Genomic DNA, 18,380 nt, shown 5'->3' on the forward strand with positions numbered 1-18,380 from the left:
CAACCCAAATGTCCATCAGTGATAGACTGGATTAAGAAAATGTGGCATATACACACCGTGGAATACTATGCAGCCATAAAAAATGATGAGTTCATGTCCTTTGCAGGGATATGGATGAAGCTGGAAACCATCATTCTCAGAAAACTATCACAAGAACAGAAAATCAAACACCATAGTGTTGGAAGTTCTGGCCAGGGCAATCAGGCAGGAGAAAGAAATAAAGGGTATTCCAGTAAGAAAGGAGGAAGTCAAATTGTCCCTGTTTGCAGATGACATGATTGTATATTTAGAAAACCCCATCATCTCAGCAATCTACCCATCTGACAAAGGGCTAATATCCAGAATCTACAAAGAACTTAAACAAATTTACAAGAAAAAAAACAAACAACCCCATCAAAAAGTGAGCAAAGGATATGAACAGACACTTCGTAGGTGGGAATTGAACAATGAACGTGGTGAACGGGGGGTGGGGGGCTGGGGGAGGGATAGCATTAGGAGAAATACCAAATGTAAATGACGAGTTGATGGGTGCAGCAAACCAACATGGCACATGTATACCTATGTAACAAATCTGCATGTTGTACACATGTACCCTAGAACTTAAACTTAATATATATATATATACACATGTATGTATATATATATATATATATACATGTGTATATATATATATATATATATATATATATAATGTTACTACTGGTATCAGGTTGGTACTCTTCAAGGAAAAAGATTCCCCGAGGAAGGAGCAGGCACCCATCTTTGCTGTTTGCTGTTCTCCAGCCTCTTCGGGTGATGTATCTAAGTGAGGGAGGAACCCAGGTGAATAGGGCCTGAAGTAAACCCCTAGCAAACTTCAGCAGCCCTAGAGAAGAGGGGCCTGACTGTTGAAAGAAAAGCAAACAAGCAGGAAGCAGTAACAACAGCATCAACAAAAAAATACCCACAAAACCCCATCTAAAGGTCAGCAGCCTCAAAGATCAAAACTACACAAATTCATGAAGACGAGAAAGAATCAAAGAAAAAAACACTAAAAATGCAAATGGCCAGAGTGCCTCTTCTCCTCCAAATGATTACAACATCTCTCCAGCAAGAGCACAGAACTCGGTGAAGGCTGAGATGGATCAATTGACAGAAGTAGGCTTCAGAAGATGGGTAATAACAAACTTCACTGAGCTAAAGAAGCATGTTCTAACCCAATCTAAAGAAGCTAAGAACCATGATAGAAGGTTATAGGAGCTGCTAACTGGAATAACCAGTTTAGAGAGGAAGATAAATGACCTGATGGAGCTGAAAAACACAGCACAAGAACTTTGTGATGCAAACACAAGTAAAATAGCCAAATCGATGAAGCAGAAAATAAAATATCAGAGCTTGAAGACTATCTTGCTGAAATAAGGCAGGCATACAAGATTAGAGAAAAAAGAATGAAAAGGAATGAACAAAACCTCCGACAACTATGGGATTACGAAAAAAGACTGAACCTATGGCTGACTGGAGTACCTGAAAAAGACAGAGAGAATGGAAATAAGTTGGCAAACACACTTCAGGATATCATCCAGAAGAGCTTCCCCAACCTAGCAAGACAGGCCAACATGCAAATTTGGCAAATGCAGAGAACACCATTAAGATGCTTTATGAAAAGATCAACTCCAAGACAAATAATCGTCAGATTCTCCAAGGTTGAAATGAAGGAAATACTGTTAAGGGCAGCCAGAGAGAAAGGCCTGGTTTCCTACAAAGGGAAGCCCATCAGACTAACAACAGACCTCTCAAGAGAAACCCTATAAGCCAGAAGAGAGTGGTGGCTGATATTCAACATTCTTAAAGAAAAGAATTTCCAACACAGAATTTTATTTCTGGCCAAACTAAGCTTCATAAACAAAGGAGAAATAAAATTCCTTTCAGAGAAGCAAATGCTGAGGGCTATCATTTCCACCAGTCCTGCCCTGCAAGAGTTCCTGAAAAAAGCACTAAATATGACATGGAAAAACTGGTATTAGCTACTGCAAAGACACACCAAAAGATAAAGACCAATGACACTATGAGGAAACTGCAACTAGTGTCCAATATAACCAAATAGCATCATGATAACAGGATCAAATTCACACATAACAATACTAACCTTAAACGTAAATGGGCTAAATGCCCCAATTAAAAGACACAGACTGGCAAATTGGATAAGGAGTTGAGACCCATTGGTGTGCTGTATTCAGGAGACCTATCTTCTGTACAAAGACACACACAGGCTCAAAATAAAGGGATGGAGGAAAATTCATCAAGCAACTGGAAAGAAAAAAAAAAAAAGCAGGGGTTGAGGGGTTGCAATCCTTGTCTCTGACAAAACAGACTTTAAACCAACAAAGATCAAAAAGGACAAAGGAGGACATTACATAATGGTAAAGAGATGAATTCAACAAAAAGCACTAACAATTCTAAATATATATGCGCCCAATACAGGAGAACACAGATTCATAAAACATGTTCTTTGAGACCTACAAAGAGACTTAGACTCCCACATAATAATAGTGGGAGACTTTAACAACCTACTGTAAATATTAGACAGATCATCAAAACATAAAATTAACAAGAATATCTAATACTTGAACTCAGCTCTGGATCAAGTGGACTCTGATGGATATCTACAGAACTCTCCACCCCAAGGCAACAGAATATTCATTCTTCTTAGTGCCACATGACTCTTACTCTAAAATTAATCACATAACTGGAAGTAGAACACTGCTCAGCAAATGCAAAAGAACTAAAATCATAACAAACAGTCTATCAGACCACAGCACAATCAAATTAAAACTCAAGATTAAGAAACTCACTCAAAACCATACAGCTATCTGAAGATTGAACAACCTACTCCTGAATGACTCCTGGGTAAATGTATTCATCTGTTTTCATGCTGCTGATAAAGACATACCCGATACTGGGCAATTTATAAAAGAGGTTTAATTGGACTTACAGTTCCATGTGGCTGGGGAAGCCTCACAATCATGGCGGAAGGCAAGGAGGAGCAAGTCACGTCTTACATGAATGGCAGCAGGCAAAAAGAGAGCTAGTGCAGAGAAGCTCCCATTTTTAAAACCATCAGATCTTGTGAGACCCATTCACTATCATGAGAACAGCATGGGAAAGACCCACCCCCATGATTCAATCATCTCTTATGGTCTCTCCCACAACATGTGGAAATTATGGGTGCTACAAGATGAGATTTGGGTGGAGACACAGAGCCAAACTGTATCAGTAAATAATGAAATTAAGGCAGAAATCAAGAAGTTATTTGAAACCAATGAGAACAAAGAGACAATGTACCCAAATCTCTGGGACACAGCTAAAGCCGTGTTAAGAGGGAAATTTATAGCACTAAATGCCCACATCACAAAGCTAGAAAGATCTCAAATTGACACCCTAACATCACAACTAAAAGAACTAGAGAAGCAAGAACAAATAAATCTAAAAGCTAGTGGAAAACAAGAAATAACCAAGATCAGAGTGGAACTGAAGGAGACAGAGACATGAAAAACCCTTCAAAAAAAATCAATGAATCCAGGAGCTTTTTTTTTTTGAAAATATTAATAAAATATAGACTGCTAGCTAGACTAATAAAGAAGAAAAGAGAGAAGAATCAAATAGACACAATAAAAAATGATAAAGGGGATATCACCAATGACTCCACAGAAATACAACAAACCATCAGAGAATATTATAAACACCTCTATACAAATAAACTAGAAAATATAGAAGAAATGGATAAATTCCTGGACATATACACCATCCCAAGACTAAACCAGGAAGAAGTTGAATCCTTGAATAGACCAATAACAATTTCTACTATAGGGGCAGTAATAAATTGCCTACCAAAAAAAAACCCAGGACAAGATAGATTTACAGCTGAATTCTACCAGAAATACAAAGAGGGACTGGTACCATTCGTTCTGAAACTATTCCAAACAACTGAAAGGAAGGACTCCTCCTTAATTCATTTTAGGAGGCAGCGTAACCCTGATACCAAAACTTGGCAGAGATACAACAAAAAAAGAAAACTTCAGGCAAATATTCCTGATGAACATCAAGGCTAAAATCCTCAATAAAATACTGGCAAACTGAATCCAGCAGCCCATCAAAAAGTTTATCCACCACGATCAAGTCAGCTTCATACCCGGGATGCAAGGCTGGTTCAACATATGCAAATCAATAAACATAATTCATCACATAAACAGAACTAATGACAAAACCTACATGATTATTTCAATAGACATAGAAAAGGCCTTCAATACCATTCAACATCCCTTCATGTCAATAACTCTCAATAAACTAAGTACTGATGGAACATATCTCAAAATAATAAGAGCCATTTATGATGAACCCACAGCCAATATCATACTGAATGGGCAACAGCTGGAAGAATTCCCTTTGAAAACCAGCACAAGACAAGGATACTCTCTCTCACTACTCCTGTATAACATAGTATTGGAAGTTCTGGCCAGGGAAATCAGGCAAGAGATAGAAATAAAGGGTATTCAAATAGGAAGAGAGGAAGTCAAATTGTCTCTGTTTGCAAATGACATGATCCTATATTTAGAAAACCCCATTATCTCAACCCCAAAGCTTCTTAAGCTGATAAGCAAATTCAGCAAAATTTCAGGATACAAAATCAAGCAATGTGTAAAAATCATAAGCATTCCTATAGACCAAAGAATAGACAAGCAGAGAGCCAGATCATGAATGAACTCCCATTTACAATTGCTACAAAGAGAATAAAATACCTAGAAATACAACTAACAAGGGATGTGAAGGACATCTTCAAGAAGAACTACAAACCATTGCTCAAGGAAATAAGAGAAGACACAAACAAATGGAAAAACATTCCATGCTTGTGAACAGGAAGAATCAATATCATAAAAATGGCCAAACTGCCCAAAATAATTTATAAATTTAATGCTACTTCCATTAAACTACCATTGACATTCTTCACAGAATTAGAAAAAAAACTGCTTTAAATTTCATATGGAACCAAAAAAGAGCCCTTATAGCCAAGACAATCCTAAGCAAAAAGAACAAAGCTGGAGGCATCATGCTACATGACTTCAAACTATTTTACAAGGCTATAGTAACCAAAACAGCAAGGTACTGGTACCAAAACAGACATACAGATGAATGGAATGGAATAGAGATCTCAGAAATAAGACCAGACATCTACAACCATCTGATCTTTGACAAACCTGACAAAAACAAGAAATGGGGAAAGGAAAATTATTCCCTATTTAATAAAAATAAGTGGGAAAACTGGCTAGCCATATGCAGAATATTGAAATTGGACCCCTTCCTTATATTTTACACAAAAATTAACTCAAGATGGATTAAAGACTTAAATGTAAAAACAAAAACTATAAAAACCCATGAAGAAAATCTAGGCAATGCCATTTAGGACAAGAATGAGAAAATATTTCATGACAAATACATCAAAAGCAATTGCAACAAAAGTAAAAATTAACAAACGGGACTTAATTAAACTAAGGAGCTTCTGGACAGCAAAAGAAATTAGCATCAGAGTGAACAGATAACCTAATGAGTGAGAGAAAAGTTTTGCAGTCTTTCTATCTTACAAATGTCTAATATCCAGAATCTACAAGGAACTTAAACAAATTTACAAGAAAAAAACCAACCCCATCAAAAAGTGGGCAAAGGACATGAACAGCCACTTCTCAAAATAAGACATTTATGTGGCCAGCAAACATGAAAAAAAGCTCAACATCACTGATCACTAGAGAAATGCAAATCAAAACCACAATGAGATACCATCTCATGCCAGTCAGAATGATTACTGAAAAGTCAAGAAACAATGGATGCTGGCGAGGCTGTGGAGAAATAGGAATGCTTTTACACTGTCGGTGGGAATCTAAACTAAACCATTGTGGAAGACAGTGTGGTGACTCCTCAAGGATCTGGAACCAGAAATACCATTCGACCCACCTATCCCATTACTGGGTATATAACAGAAGGAATATGAATCATTCTATTATAAAGATAAACGCACATGTATGTTAATTGCAGCACTATTCACAATAGCAAAGACATGGAATCAACCCAAATGCTCATCAATGATAGACTGGATAAAAAGAATATGGTATATATACACCATGGAATACTACGCAGCCATAAAAAGGAATGAGATCATGTCCTTTGCAGGACATGGATGGAGCTGGAAGCCATCATTCTCAGCAAACAAACACAGGAGCAGAAAACCTAACACAGCTTGTTCTCACTCATAAGTGGGAGCTCAACAATGAGAGCACATAGACACAGGGAGGGGAGCAACATACACTGGGGCATGTTGGGGCAGTAGTAGGGGAGATAGCATCAGGATAAATAGCTAATGCATGTGGGGCTTAATACCTAGGTGATGGCTTGATGGTTGCAGCAAACCACCATGGCACACATTTACCTATGTAACAAACCTGCATGTCCTGCACATGTATCCCAGAACTTAAAATAAAATAAAATATATATTAAAAACAGCTATGTGGGGAAACGTTATTTCTTTTCACTGACTGAGCTCAGAGTTAGGTCAAATAAAGACAAGCTCTGCAAATGGATTTTCAAGGGAACTTGTAGACCAGTAAAATGGCAGCAATTCTTAGAGGATAAAAATTTTAGAGAGGTCCAATCATGTTCTGTTCCCTCCAGTGACTGATTGCTTGGCTGCTAGTTTTCACATTTACTAATTTCTCTCTTTCTCTCTGTTGTAACAAATTAACACAAACAGTAGTTTAAAGGAATACAAGTGTATTGTCTTTCATTTCTGGAGGTCCGAAGTCTTAAATGATTCCTCACAGTTATTGTTCCAGAAACTATATAAAGAATACTTGTTTGCCTTTTCGATCTTCTAATCTTCTGACCTTGTGATCTCTCATAAGGACCTTTGCCATTACAGAAGACCCACCCAGATGGTGTGGAATAATCTCCCATCTAGAGATCCTTCAATTAGTCATGATTGAAGCTACCTTTTTCCATGTAGGCAATACATTTATGATTTCCAGGGAGTATAATATGAACATGCTGGGAACTATTTTTCTCTCTACTATATTTCTCCCACTTGCTTCAAAAGATTCATAGCCATCTCACATGCAAGGCACATTTACCCCATTCCGGGTCTCCAAAACCTCAACACATTACAGCATCTACTCAAGTCCAAAAATCTCATCATAAAAGTCCCAGATCTTTTCATGTAGACCATATGTTGATAATAATTTTGAGAATGATCCATCTGGGTCAAAATTTCTCTCTTACTGTGGACTTCTGAAACTGGAAAAGTAGTTAGTGCTCCCAAAACACAATAATGGGACATGTATAGGATACCTATTATAGATGTTTGTATTCAAAAGGGGGAAAAAATAGAAGAAAAAGAGGAACCACCATTTGGAGGAAATTTGAAATTCAGCAAAGCAAACTCCATTAGCTCTCAAGGCCTGAGAATATTCCTTTGTGGTTGTCAGCTCCATTCTCTGGGCTGAGAGCTCTCTGCATTCTGGGCTGACAACTCTGCCATGAGAATACTTCCTTCCTTCTTTGAAAATGAAGCATGCCTCGTAGATCTGTTTGACACTGTCAATGAGATGTTGAAGACTCCCCCTATTATTGTGATTATCTAATTGTGGTTATCTAAGTCTCTTTGCAGAACTCTAAGAACTTGTTTTATGAATCTGGGTGTTCCAGTGTTGGGTTTACATATATTTAGGATAGTTAAGTCTTTTTGTTGAATTGAACACTTTCTTGTTATGTAATGCTTTGACTTTTTAGGTTATTTACAGTCTGCTTGATCTGAAATAAGAATATCAATTCCTGCTGTTTTTCGTTTTCCATTTGCTTAATAGATATTTCTCCATCCCTCTACCTTGCGCTTGTGGGTGTCATTACAGTTGAGATGGGTCTCTTGAAGACAGTATATGGTTGGGTCTTGCTTCTTTATTCAGCTTGCCACTCTCTGCCTTTTAGGTAGGGCATTTAGCCCATCTACATTCAAAATCAATATCGATATGTGAGAATTTGATGCTGTCATCATGTTGTTAGCTGGTTATTATATAGACCTGATTGTATAGTTGCTTTATAGTGTCAGTGGGCTATGCACTTAAGTATGTTTTTGTGGAGACAGCTACAGTTCTTTTGATTCCATGTTTAGCACTCCCTTAAAGACTTCTTGTAAGGCAGGCCTACTGGTAACAAATTCCTTAGAATTTGCTTGCCTAAAAAAGATATCATTTCTTCTTCACATTTGAAGCTCAATTTGGGTGAATATAAAATTCTTGGTTGGAATTTCTTTTCTTTAATAATGCTGAATGTAGCTCCCCAATCTCTTCTGGCTTGTGTGGTTTCTTCTAAAACTTCTGCTGTTAGACTACTAGGGTTCCTTTTTTAGGTGATCTGCCCCTTCTCTCTAGTTGCCTTTAAGATTTTTTTGTTGGTTTGTTTGCATTGACTTAGAAAACCTGATAACTATGTGTCTCGGGGATGTTTTTCTTGTACAGTATCTTACAGGGTTCTCTGAATTTCTTAAATTTTCACACTGAAAATTCTCTAGTGGAGTTGGGGAAATTTTCTTGGACAATATCTTCAACAATGTTTTCCAAGTGCTTGCTCTTTCTCCATCATTTTCAAGAATGCCAATGAGTCATAAGCTTGTTCTGTTTACGTAATCCCTTATTTCTCAGATGTGTTCTTCATTTAAAAAAATATTAAATTTTGTCTGCCTGCATTGAGTCAAAGGAATGTTCTTCAAGCTCTGAGATTCTTACTTCAGTTCATTCTACTCTGTTGTTAATGCTTCCAATTGCATTATTAAATTCCTGAAGTGAATTTTTTATTTCCAGAAGCTATTTTGGTGCTTCCTTAAAATGACTATGCCACTTTTCAACTCTTGGATCATATTATTAGTTTTCTTGAATTGGGTTTCAAACTGCTTCTGTATCTTTGAGGTTCCTTGCTATCCATACTCTGAATTCTATGTCTGTCACTTCAGCCATTTCAGTGTGACCAAGAACCAGGAGCTACTGCAGTTGATTGGAGGTAAGAAGACACTCTGGCTTTAAGAGTTTTCAGAGTTCCTGCACTGTCTTTTCCTCATCTGTGTGGACTGGTGTTCATTTAATCTTTGAGGTTGCTGTCCTTTGGATGGGTCTTTGTGTTTTTGTATCCTTTGATGCCCTGAAGGATTTGACTGTGTTATAAGTTGGGTTTAGTCAACTGGCTTCATTTCTGAATGCTTACATGGCTCTGAGGCTCAGATCAGCAATTCTCAGCTGTATGTTCCGACCCTACTGACCTGGAAACAGGCCTTCAGTTGTATGTGCTGGCCCCTTGAGATCAAATACTCACTGCATCGGAGAGGCTGAGGTGTTCCCAGTCCACTGGCAACAATACTCTGCAGAAAACTAATGAAGCTATTCAGGACTTAAACTCAACACTTGACCAAACAGATGTAACAGACATCTATAGAATAATCCACACAACAACGACAGGTATACATTCTTCTCATCTCCACACAGCACATACTCTAAGATCAACCACATACTTGTGCATAAAGCAATTCACAAAAAATTTAAAAAAAAATCATACTCATCACAGTCTTGGACTACAGTGCAATAAAAATATAAATCAATACTAAGGAGATATATCCAAACCATACAATTACATGGAAATTAAACAGCTTGCTCCTGAATGACTTTTGGGTAAAGAATAAAATTAAGTCAGATCAAAAAAAATTTGAAACTAATGAAAACAAAGATAAAACACACCAGAATCTCTGGGACACAGCTAAAGAAGTAGGAAGGGGAAAGTTTATAGTGCCAAACAGGTACATCAAGAAGTTAGAAAGTACTCAAATTAACAAGCTAACATCACACCTGGAGGAATTTTAAAAAAAAAGAAGAGGAAACCAACCCCAAAGCTCACAGAAGAAAAGAAATAACCAAAACCAGAGCTAATTGAATGAATATGAGATGTGAAAAACCATACAAAAGATTAACTTAGACCAAAACTTGGTTTTTTAAAAGAAAAATCAAGCTTGCTTTGATAGACCACTAGCTAGATGAATAAAGAAAAAAAGAGAAAATCCAAATAAACATAATCATAAATGACAAAGGAGACATTAATATGGACCCCACAGAAATACAAAAAAAAAGTCTCAAAGACCGTTACAAACACTTCTATGTACACATATTAGAAAATCTAGAAGAAATAAATAAATTTCTGGAAATACATGACCTCCCAACATTAAACCAGGAAGAAATTGAAATCCTGAACAGACCAAAAACAAGATCCAAAACTGAATGAGTAATAAAAAACCTACCAACAAGAAAAAGCCTTGGACTAGGCTATTTCTACAAGATATACAAATAATAGATGATAACAGTCCCACTGGAACTATTGCAAAAAATTGAGGAGGAGGGACTATCTTCTAACTCATTTTAGGAGGCCAGCATTATTCTCATACCAAAATCTGGCAGAAACACTACAAATGAAAATCTTCAGAACAATATCCCTGTTGTAAAACCCCTCAACAAAATATGCAAACCAAATCCAGTAGCACATCAAAAAGCTAATCCATCATGATTGAGTAGGCTTTAATCCTGTAATGCGAGATTGGTTCAGCATATGCAATTCACGAAATGTGATTCATCACATAAACAGAACTAAGAACAAAAACCACATGATCATTTCAATAGACATAAAAAAGGCTTTTGATAAAAATTCAATATTCCTTCATGTTAAAAACACTCAACAGCTAGGCAGTGAAAGAATATACCTCAAAATAATAAGAGCCATCTATGACAAACAAAAAAAGGTAAGCATGTGTTTTCAGCTGAGTAATTTTATTAGGCAATATTCTGTTTATAGCATTTCGGGAGTCCAACAAATTTCTTTGATTTCTTCTTTCTGTTTTTCAGTCCAAGGTGGCGTTTTTTTTTTTTTTTTTTTTTTTTGCAAGTGTAAAAACTTTGAGAACATTGTGTCTCTAAAGTATATGTCACTGGATTCATTCCATAGACATTATGTTGACATTAATAATGTGTAAGATAATATGTTTATGGTTTTGGGGAATATGACATACACATCTTTAGGTGGAATTTTTCTGTTGATTACATCATGGCTACTGTGACTACAGAGCTGTTGGTTTGCAAATCTTCTGTGAATCTGGGGATTGGAGGATGGAAATAGAACAAGTTGAAATTCCACAGCTCACTGTTCTATGATAGTTTCACATTTTTTAAGATGACCTTTAGATTGAGGTCATTGGTTAATGTTCGGAGTTCTAAAATTTTGGTTTTGACCATTTTTACCTGGGTTCTGACTGCTTTCTTTGAGGCACAGATTTTTGGAGCCCTTATTCTGAATTGTTTTGTGCATATGAAATTGTACATAGAGACTATTATTTGAAATTAAAACAAATAAGAACTATGTCACATCTATGTATAATGGTAAGTACATAAATATTTCATATACATGAATGGCAATGTACTTAATTTAAAAATCCCAGATATGTATGTATTTATTAATTTTTATGTTTTATTAAGTATATTACTGTTTTTCATGTTGTCTACATGTGTGCATATACAGTGCATATGTGTATATATGTTTTAATACTTGCTAATAAGTATAACTATATTGATTTTTAAACATACATGTCACCAGACAAAATATTTAATTATGCCAGACAAACTGGTGGTCTTCCAGTTGTTTTGTCAAAGAATCTCAATGTTACATTGTTGTATTATTCTTAAGTCTATTTAATTTGATAAAGTAATATATTGCTGTCAGTGAACCTAAAATACAAACAGTTTTTAAACACTCATGGTTTAAATACTTTCTAAATCACAGATCTTCAAAGAATAGTAATAATCACACAATTATATTAGTTGGAAAGTTCTCCTGAAGTCTTAGAAGGAATATGATTTTGCATTATGCTTCACCCAAATATATAGGTTTCTTAATTTTGAAAGAAAATTCAGACTTTCCATCATGAGGTCTCATACTTATGAAACACTCTTATCTCTAGAAGTGTTTCCTAGTGGGTTCACTGTAGAAACTTGCAGATCATTTGTAGGTCAACTCTGATCCCAGTTTTATGGATCAAAATATGAGCCTCAGAGATGTTGTGTTATCCATTAGATTTATACATGGAAGAGCTATAAAGTGAATCCAGGTATCCTAAAGAAGAGGAATGGCAGGAATAGTTGACATAAATAATGGATTGGGAAAGAGGAGTATCAATTAGAGTAGGAGAGAAGAGGTTCATTCAGGGTCAGACATATTTCATATACATGGTGATTTTCAAGTTAGATGTAAGATGAAGTTGGAGGCTTTGTTACACTCCAACTATGGCATTCGTTTTTCTTCTCTCTAGAGAAGAACATAAATGTCTTCTTCCTATTTTTGGACACTTTGTACTGAGTGGAAGCTCAGAGATTTGTCCCAAACCTGGAATCCTAGGCAATGTCTCTAAAAATACATCACAATATTCTTTTATATTATATGGGCAACAATGAAGCATCAGCAAAGTAATAAATTCTGAATACTACAGTTTCCCAGTCCAATGGACTGAATATATCTTTCTGAAATTAATATGTTAAAGTCCTAACTCCCAGAGGTTTTAGGAAGTAGGGCTTTTGGAAGATGATTAGGCCACAAGGGAGGAGTTCTCAGAATTGGGAGCAATGCCCTTATAGAAATAGACCCCAGAAAGACCCCTCCCCGCTTCTGCCCTGTGAGGTTACAGTGAGAAGTTGGTCATCTGTGAGGAAGTGAACCCTCATCAGACACCAAATCTGTTTAATTCTGGGCTTCCCAGCCTCTGGAAGTACAGAAACCAGTTTCTGTTATTATAAGTCACCCAGTCTATGGTATTTGTTACAGCAGTTCACACTGTTTAAGATACCTAGTATGAGTTTAAGGTCCCCATTAGGTAGTTCGTGAATAGGAACATATGCATAAACAAAAGGGAGTATGTAGTAGTTATAGAGATCAACATTTGAAGCACGTTAGTCTCTGGAAACTACATGTCATTGGCTACCTGGGAGGTGAATTTGAAAAGGCTTCATTCTCCATTCGGCCCACAATCCAGAGTCTCTCAGAATTATTGCTAGGAAGAATCTAAGATGGGCAGATACAAGCAACCACAACAATAGACATTCCATTTAGAACTTTGAAGCTGACTAGTTCTATGAATAATTGTACGCATACCAGGATATAAAGCTTGTAATTCTCCCATGGTGTTGGAATGGCAGCAAAGGCTCAAAGCAGTGGTCATGCCTCCTGCAAGCAGTGTGCCACCTCAAAGCAGTATTCACACCTCAAAGTAGTATGTCACACCTCCTATATTCCAATAATTGATCAAGTGGGGCCAGTTCCACATGAAGTTTCTGATACCTAAGGCTTTACCACTACATGTTAAACAATAAAATGGAACAATCAAATAATTACATGATGGTGCATAAAATGGTTTCAGAGCATTGTACGTTGTCCTCTGTTGTACTAGTTTCATTACTTTGCACTTTGTGCAAGAGCACACTGTTATTGGGAGATCTTCTCAGTCATATAAAAAGAGAGAAAGCCTAAGTGGAATGTAAATTAGAACATTATGTTTTGTAGTAGGATTTGAGTAAGAGGAAAAGTATCTCTTTGGTATCTCAGAACAGAAAGGAAAAGTATTCACAATGTATGAGAGATGAAACAACCTGGATACACATTTCAATTACAGGATCTAGAAGCAGAATGTTAAGGATACTATGGTAAGTGACTCTCTTGTGTGGGCCCATTTGCCAAGCTTAGCTATGGACAACACAACAGCCTTGGGTGTCTGTAATCCTCTCTGAACAAAGTGAAGGGATTTGGACTCTTGTGAAGGTACATGGGCATGAAGTTACTTCTTCCACTGACTATGATGTCAATGAATCCCAGGGTGGTGGTGGGGGCGGGGTTGCATTTCCTGTGAATAAGGGCACAGGTTTAGCACCTCACAGCAGCATCTGGTCAAGACAGATAAGAACCTACTGGCATTAATCAGTGGAAACAATACAGGATAAAGGCTGCCACTTTATGAAAGATGAGCTTGGCCTGTCCAAAATAAATTGTGTAACTTCCCCATGGAGAAGACAAGAGAGGCTAAATGGGTCACAAGCAAATAGTCTCATAAGCCCTCAGCCAGATTAGCATGTTGAAAACCTCCCCTTTATCTGGGCCAGTAAGGAGCAACTTAGCCTCCCAGAACTGGGCCCTCTTGGATCCACTAACCTAGATCATAGTGAGAGGTGACAGCGTTCTGGCAGCCCTCGCTCACTCTTGGCGCCTCCTCAGCCTCGGTGCCCACTCTGGCCACACTTGAGGAGCCCTTCAGCCCACTGCTGCACTGTGGGAGCCCCTTTCTGGGCTGGCCGAGGCCGGAGCCGGCTCCCTGTGCTTGCAGGGAGGTGTGGAGGGAGAGGCACGGGCAGGAGCCAGGGCTGCAAGCAGCGCTTGCAGGCCAGCCCAAGTTCTGGGTGGGCGTCGGCTCGGCAGGCCCGCACTCGGAGCAGCTGGCCGGCCCTGCCGGCCCCGGGCAGTGACGGGCTTAGCACCCAGGCCAGCAGCTGTGGAGGGTGCACTGGGTCCCCCAGCAGTGCTGGCCCACCAGGGCTGTGCTCGATTTCTCTCTGGGCCTTAGCTGCCTCCCCGTGGGGCAGGGCTCAGGACCTGCATCCCGCCATGCCTGAGCCTCCCCGCTCTGCCGTGGGCTCCTGCGCAGTGCACCCGAGCACAGCCCCCTACTCCACGGAGCCCAGTCCCATCAACTGCTCAAGGACTGGGGAGTGCAAGCGCAAGGCGCCAGACTGGCAGGCAGCTCCACCTGCGGCCCTTGCAGGATCCACTGGGTGAAGCCAGCTGGGCTCCTGAGTCTAGTGGGGACTTGGACAACCTTTATATCTAGCTAAGGGATTGTAAATACACCAATCAGCACTCTGTATCTAGCTCAAGGTTTGTAAATGCACCAATCGGCACTCTGTGTCTAGCTCAGGGTTTGTAAATACACCAATCAGCACTCTGTATCTAGCTAATCCAGTGGGGACGTGGAGAACTTTTGTGTCTAGCTCAGGGATTGTAAACGCACCAATCAGCACCCTGTCAAAATGGACCAATCAGCTCTCTCTAAAACAGACCAATAGGCTCTCTGTAAAATGGACCAATCAGGAGGATGTGGGTGGGGCCAGATAAGAGAATAAAAGCAGGCTGCCGGAACTGGTAGTGGTAAGCGGTTTGGGTCCTGTTCCACAGTGTGGAAGCTTTGTTCTTTTGCTCTTTGCAATAAATCTTGCTGCTGTTTACTTCTTGGGTCCATACTGCATTTATGAGCTGTAACACTCACCGCAAAGGTCTGCAGCTTCACTCCTGAAGCCAGCTAGACTACGAACCCACTGGGAGGAAGGAACAGCTAAAGACGCCCTGCCCTAAGAGCTGTAACACCACAAAGGTTTGCAGCTTCACTCCTGAGCCAGGGAGACCACGAACCCACCAGAAGGAAGAAACTCCGAACACATCTGAACATCAAAAGGAACGAACACCAGACAATGCCGCCTTTAAGAACGGTAACACTCACTGCGAGGGTCTGTGGTTTCATTCTTGAAGTCAGTGAGACCAAGAACCCACCAATTCTGGACACAATAGGTTACAGAACACTGACATAAAAGTGATGAAACAAAACATGGAAACAACAGTGTCTCACTGCAACATCTAGTATATTGAGATTTTTGAAAGAGAATAGTGCCTCAAAACCTTCTTTACCCGGAACTGAATTTCCTCCTTTTTCAGTCACTGATTCAATGTTCTCTGTTTTTACCAAACTCATGAGGTAATATAGACACCTCGAAACCCAGAATCTTTAAGGAGTAATAATAATGAGCTTTAACATTAACTTAGTAACATTAAAACCTCAGTTTTTGTATTTATAAATTATACTGGAGGGTTTCTTCTGGTAATAAAATTCCCCGGTAGTGCATCTATTCTCACACACTCTTATTTGAATTCTAAAGGAAGTGATCATATTTTGATATATGGATATGCTGAATTAAAATTATAAGTTTACAAGTTTAGACAAAACTAAAATTTGGAAATCTAAAATTGGAAAACAAACTGAAGTATGCGTCTGTTAAGTAAGTAGATACACACACAAATACATACTTTTCTTTACATATCAAGACCTGAAATTACGTCACAAACATACACCAGTGTTGAAGAAAGCACTTAATTCCTCAGAAGGAAAATGCTAGATTAGATATATCCAATACCAAGGATGAATAGACAATCATTCTTTTAAAAAATTAATCAGTTAGATTACTACCTACATCATATGAAATTAATAAAAAATGGTTTGCAGCAGAATGTCATCTAAGTAGAATTGAAAATTAATGGTGCATTAATAATAAAAATAAGAATAATAGTAGAACATGTTTACTTTATCCTAATACAAACTTTAAAATGAAGAGGTTATTATCCTAATTTTAGAGGTAAGAAAACCAAAGCTTAGATAACCATTATTGTTTTTGTTCAAATTGACTGAGCTACAAAGTTCAGGTGCCTGAAATCAAATCCTTGTCATATTTGGATTTCAGAAGCAACAATGATTTACTTATTTCTTATGGTTGATAATATAATTGAATTTAATTATCCAGCACTTACTTTTGCTACAGATGGATGAAATCAATCTATTATTAGAAGAGTAGTTTGATTAATAATTTTCAAAATGCCATTTAGAGGCAAGGAGGTGAACTGGGTACTTATTTTTTCAACTGGGAAAGCTGGATCAGTTACAGACTTCACATGAACTTTGTGACCTGTACAATAAAACAGAACAGTGCCCGAAACCAAGAAACTAACAAAAATGGACCACCTTTTAGATTAATTGGGCTTCAGAGTTCTGTTTCTTTAAAGCTGATATCCTGTGATCTTGAATGGGAGATGTGGGAACACTGTCTGATCACTTGGCAGAATCCTATATGGGAGATGTGGGAACACTGTCACTTGGCAGAATCCTAGAACATATTGTTTTACAATTTGGCCACATGGAAACACCTAGATTATTTTATGTTCTGAGACATTGTATACATTAACAGTGAAAAGAATAAATTCCTTCTCTTAAGAATGTAATTGCTTCAATAAAACACCTATATTTTCAGCAAGATAAGAAAATGTAATAAAATCAGGTGAGTTTAAATCAGACAATAGCTTGAATCACCCAGTTTTTCAAAGTTCAAATACTAGTTCCCTCTCACATTTATAAAAGAAATAATAGCTGGGCGCAGTGGCTCACACCTGTCATCCCAGCACTTTGGGAGGCCGGGGCGGGTGGATCACCTGAGGTGGGGAGTTAGAGACTAGCCTGACCAACATGGAGAAACCCTGTCTCTACTGAAAATACAAAATTAGCCAGACATGGGGGTGCATGCCTGCAATCCCAGCTACTCGGGAGGCTGAGGCAGGAGAATCGCTTGAACCCGGAAGATGGAGGTTGGGGTGGGCCAAGATCGCGCCATTGCACTTCAGTCTGGGCAACAAGAGTGAAATTCCATCTCAAAAAAAAAAAAAAAAAAAAGCAAGAAAGACTAAATACTGGGCACAAAAAAATCACCATCTATGGTAAAATTGGAGTATTATGTCCCTGGATATGAGTTCTTCACTGCCAGTTTTACCACAGACGGAAGTTCAAATAAATCTTTCACATGTTATCTTGCATTTTAAATTATGCACATCTATATGTAAGAAAAACTCAGTTACAAAATACAAGCTTGCTCATTAGTGTTTTGATTGGCCCTCCTCTTCCTTACATTATTTACTATTACTATGTCACTAATAGTTATTAAAAATTCCATATTACATACCTTTATATTCTTTCTAATTATACTTTGTTAAAAGAAAATACCGTTCATTAAAAGAAAATCTCAAAAGCTCATATACATACAGAATCATGTGCCTGGAAGCCAGAAAACTTTTCTGTTTATTCATTATTTTATTTTTTTCCCAGACCTTTACCAAGGTGAGCAGGGGCCAGGAAGGGGCCTGAAGGAGGTCATCCAGGAAGCCTTCCTGCCCCAAATGAGCAGTGATTATATCTGTCAGACAACGATGAATGAGCTGATTAGTAGTTTTAAGAAATTAAAAATCCCATGTTTATGAAATATTTTTTAAAACATGCCAATGATGGCAATTTAGAAATGTTACAGGAATATTAAACATCCTACATATTCATACTACATGATTATTTAATATCTTTTTAAATACATAGTAAATGATAATAATTTTATATATCAAATTATAAATGTGAATGTGGATGCATGTATATATACACA

General features: G+C 37.9%; 1 protein-coding gene across 15 annotated transcripts in view; it reads right to left on the bottom strand.

Moving 5' to 3' along the window:
• PLSCR2 (phospholipid scramblase 2) overlaps nt 1-13,172 on the bottom strand; it is a 104,572-nt gene extending 91,400 nt beyond the window's left edge. For all 15 annotated transcript variants that reach the window (XR_002959563.2, XR_002959564.2, XR_002959561.2 and 12 more), the window contains exon 1: nt 13,076-13,172. Coding sequence is in view for 4 of the 15 variants with exons in the window: in XM_017006903.3 (XP_016862392.2) it covers nt 13,076-13,103 (28 nt within the window). In the remaining 11 variants the exon portion in view is untranslated. The remainder of the gene's footprint in view (nt 1-13,075) is intronic.
• Between the last annotated feature and the right edge of the window lie 5,208 nt (nt 13,173-18,380).

The sequence above is a fragment of the Homo sapiens genome, chromosome 3 (genome assembly GCF_000001405.40).
Source record: "Homo sapiens chromosome 3, GRCh38.p14 Primary Assembly".
Classification (NCBI taxonomy): Eukaryota; Metazoa; Chordata; class Mammalia; order Primates; family Hominidae; genus Homo; species Homo sapiens.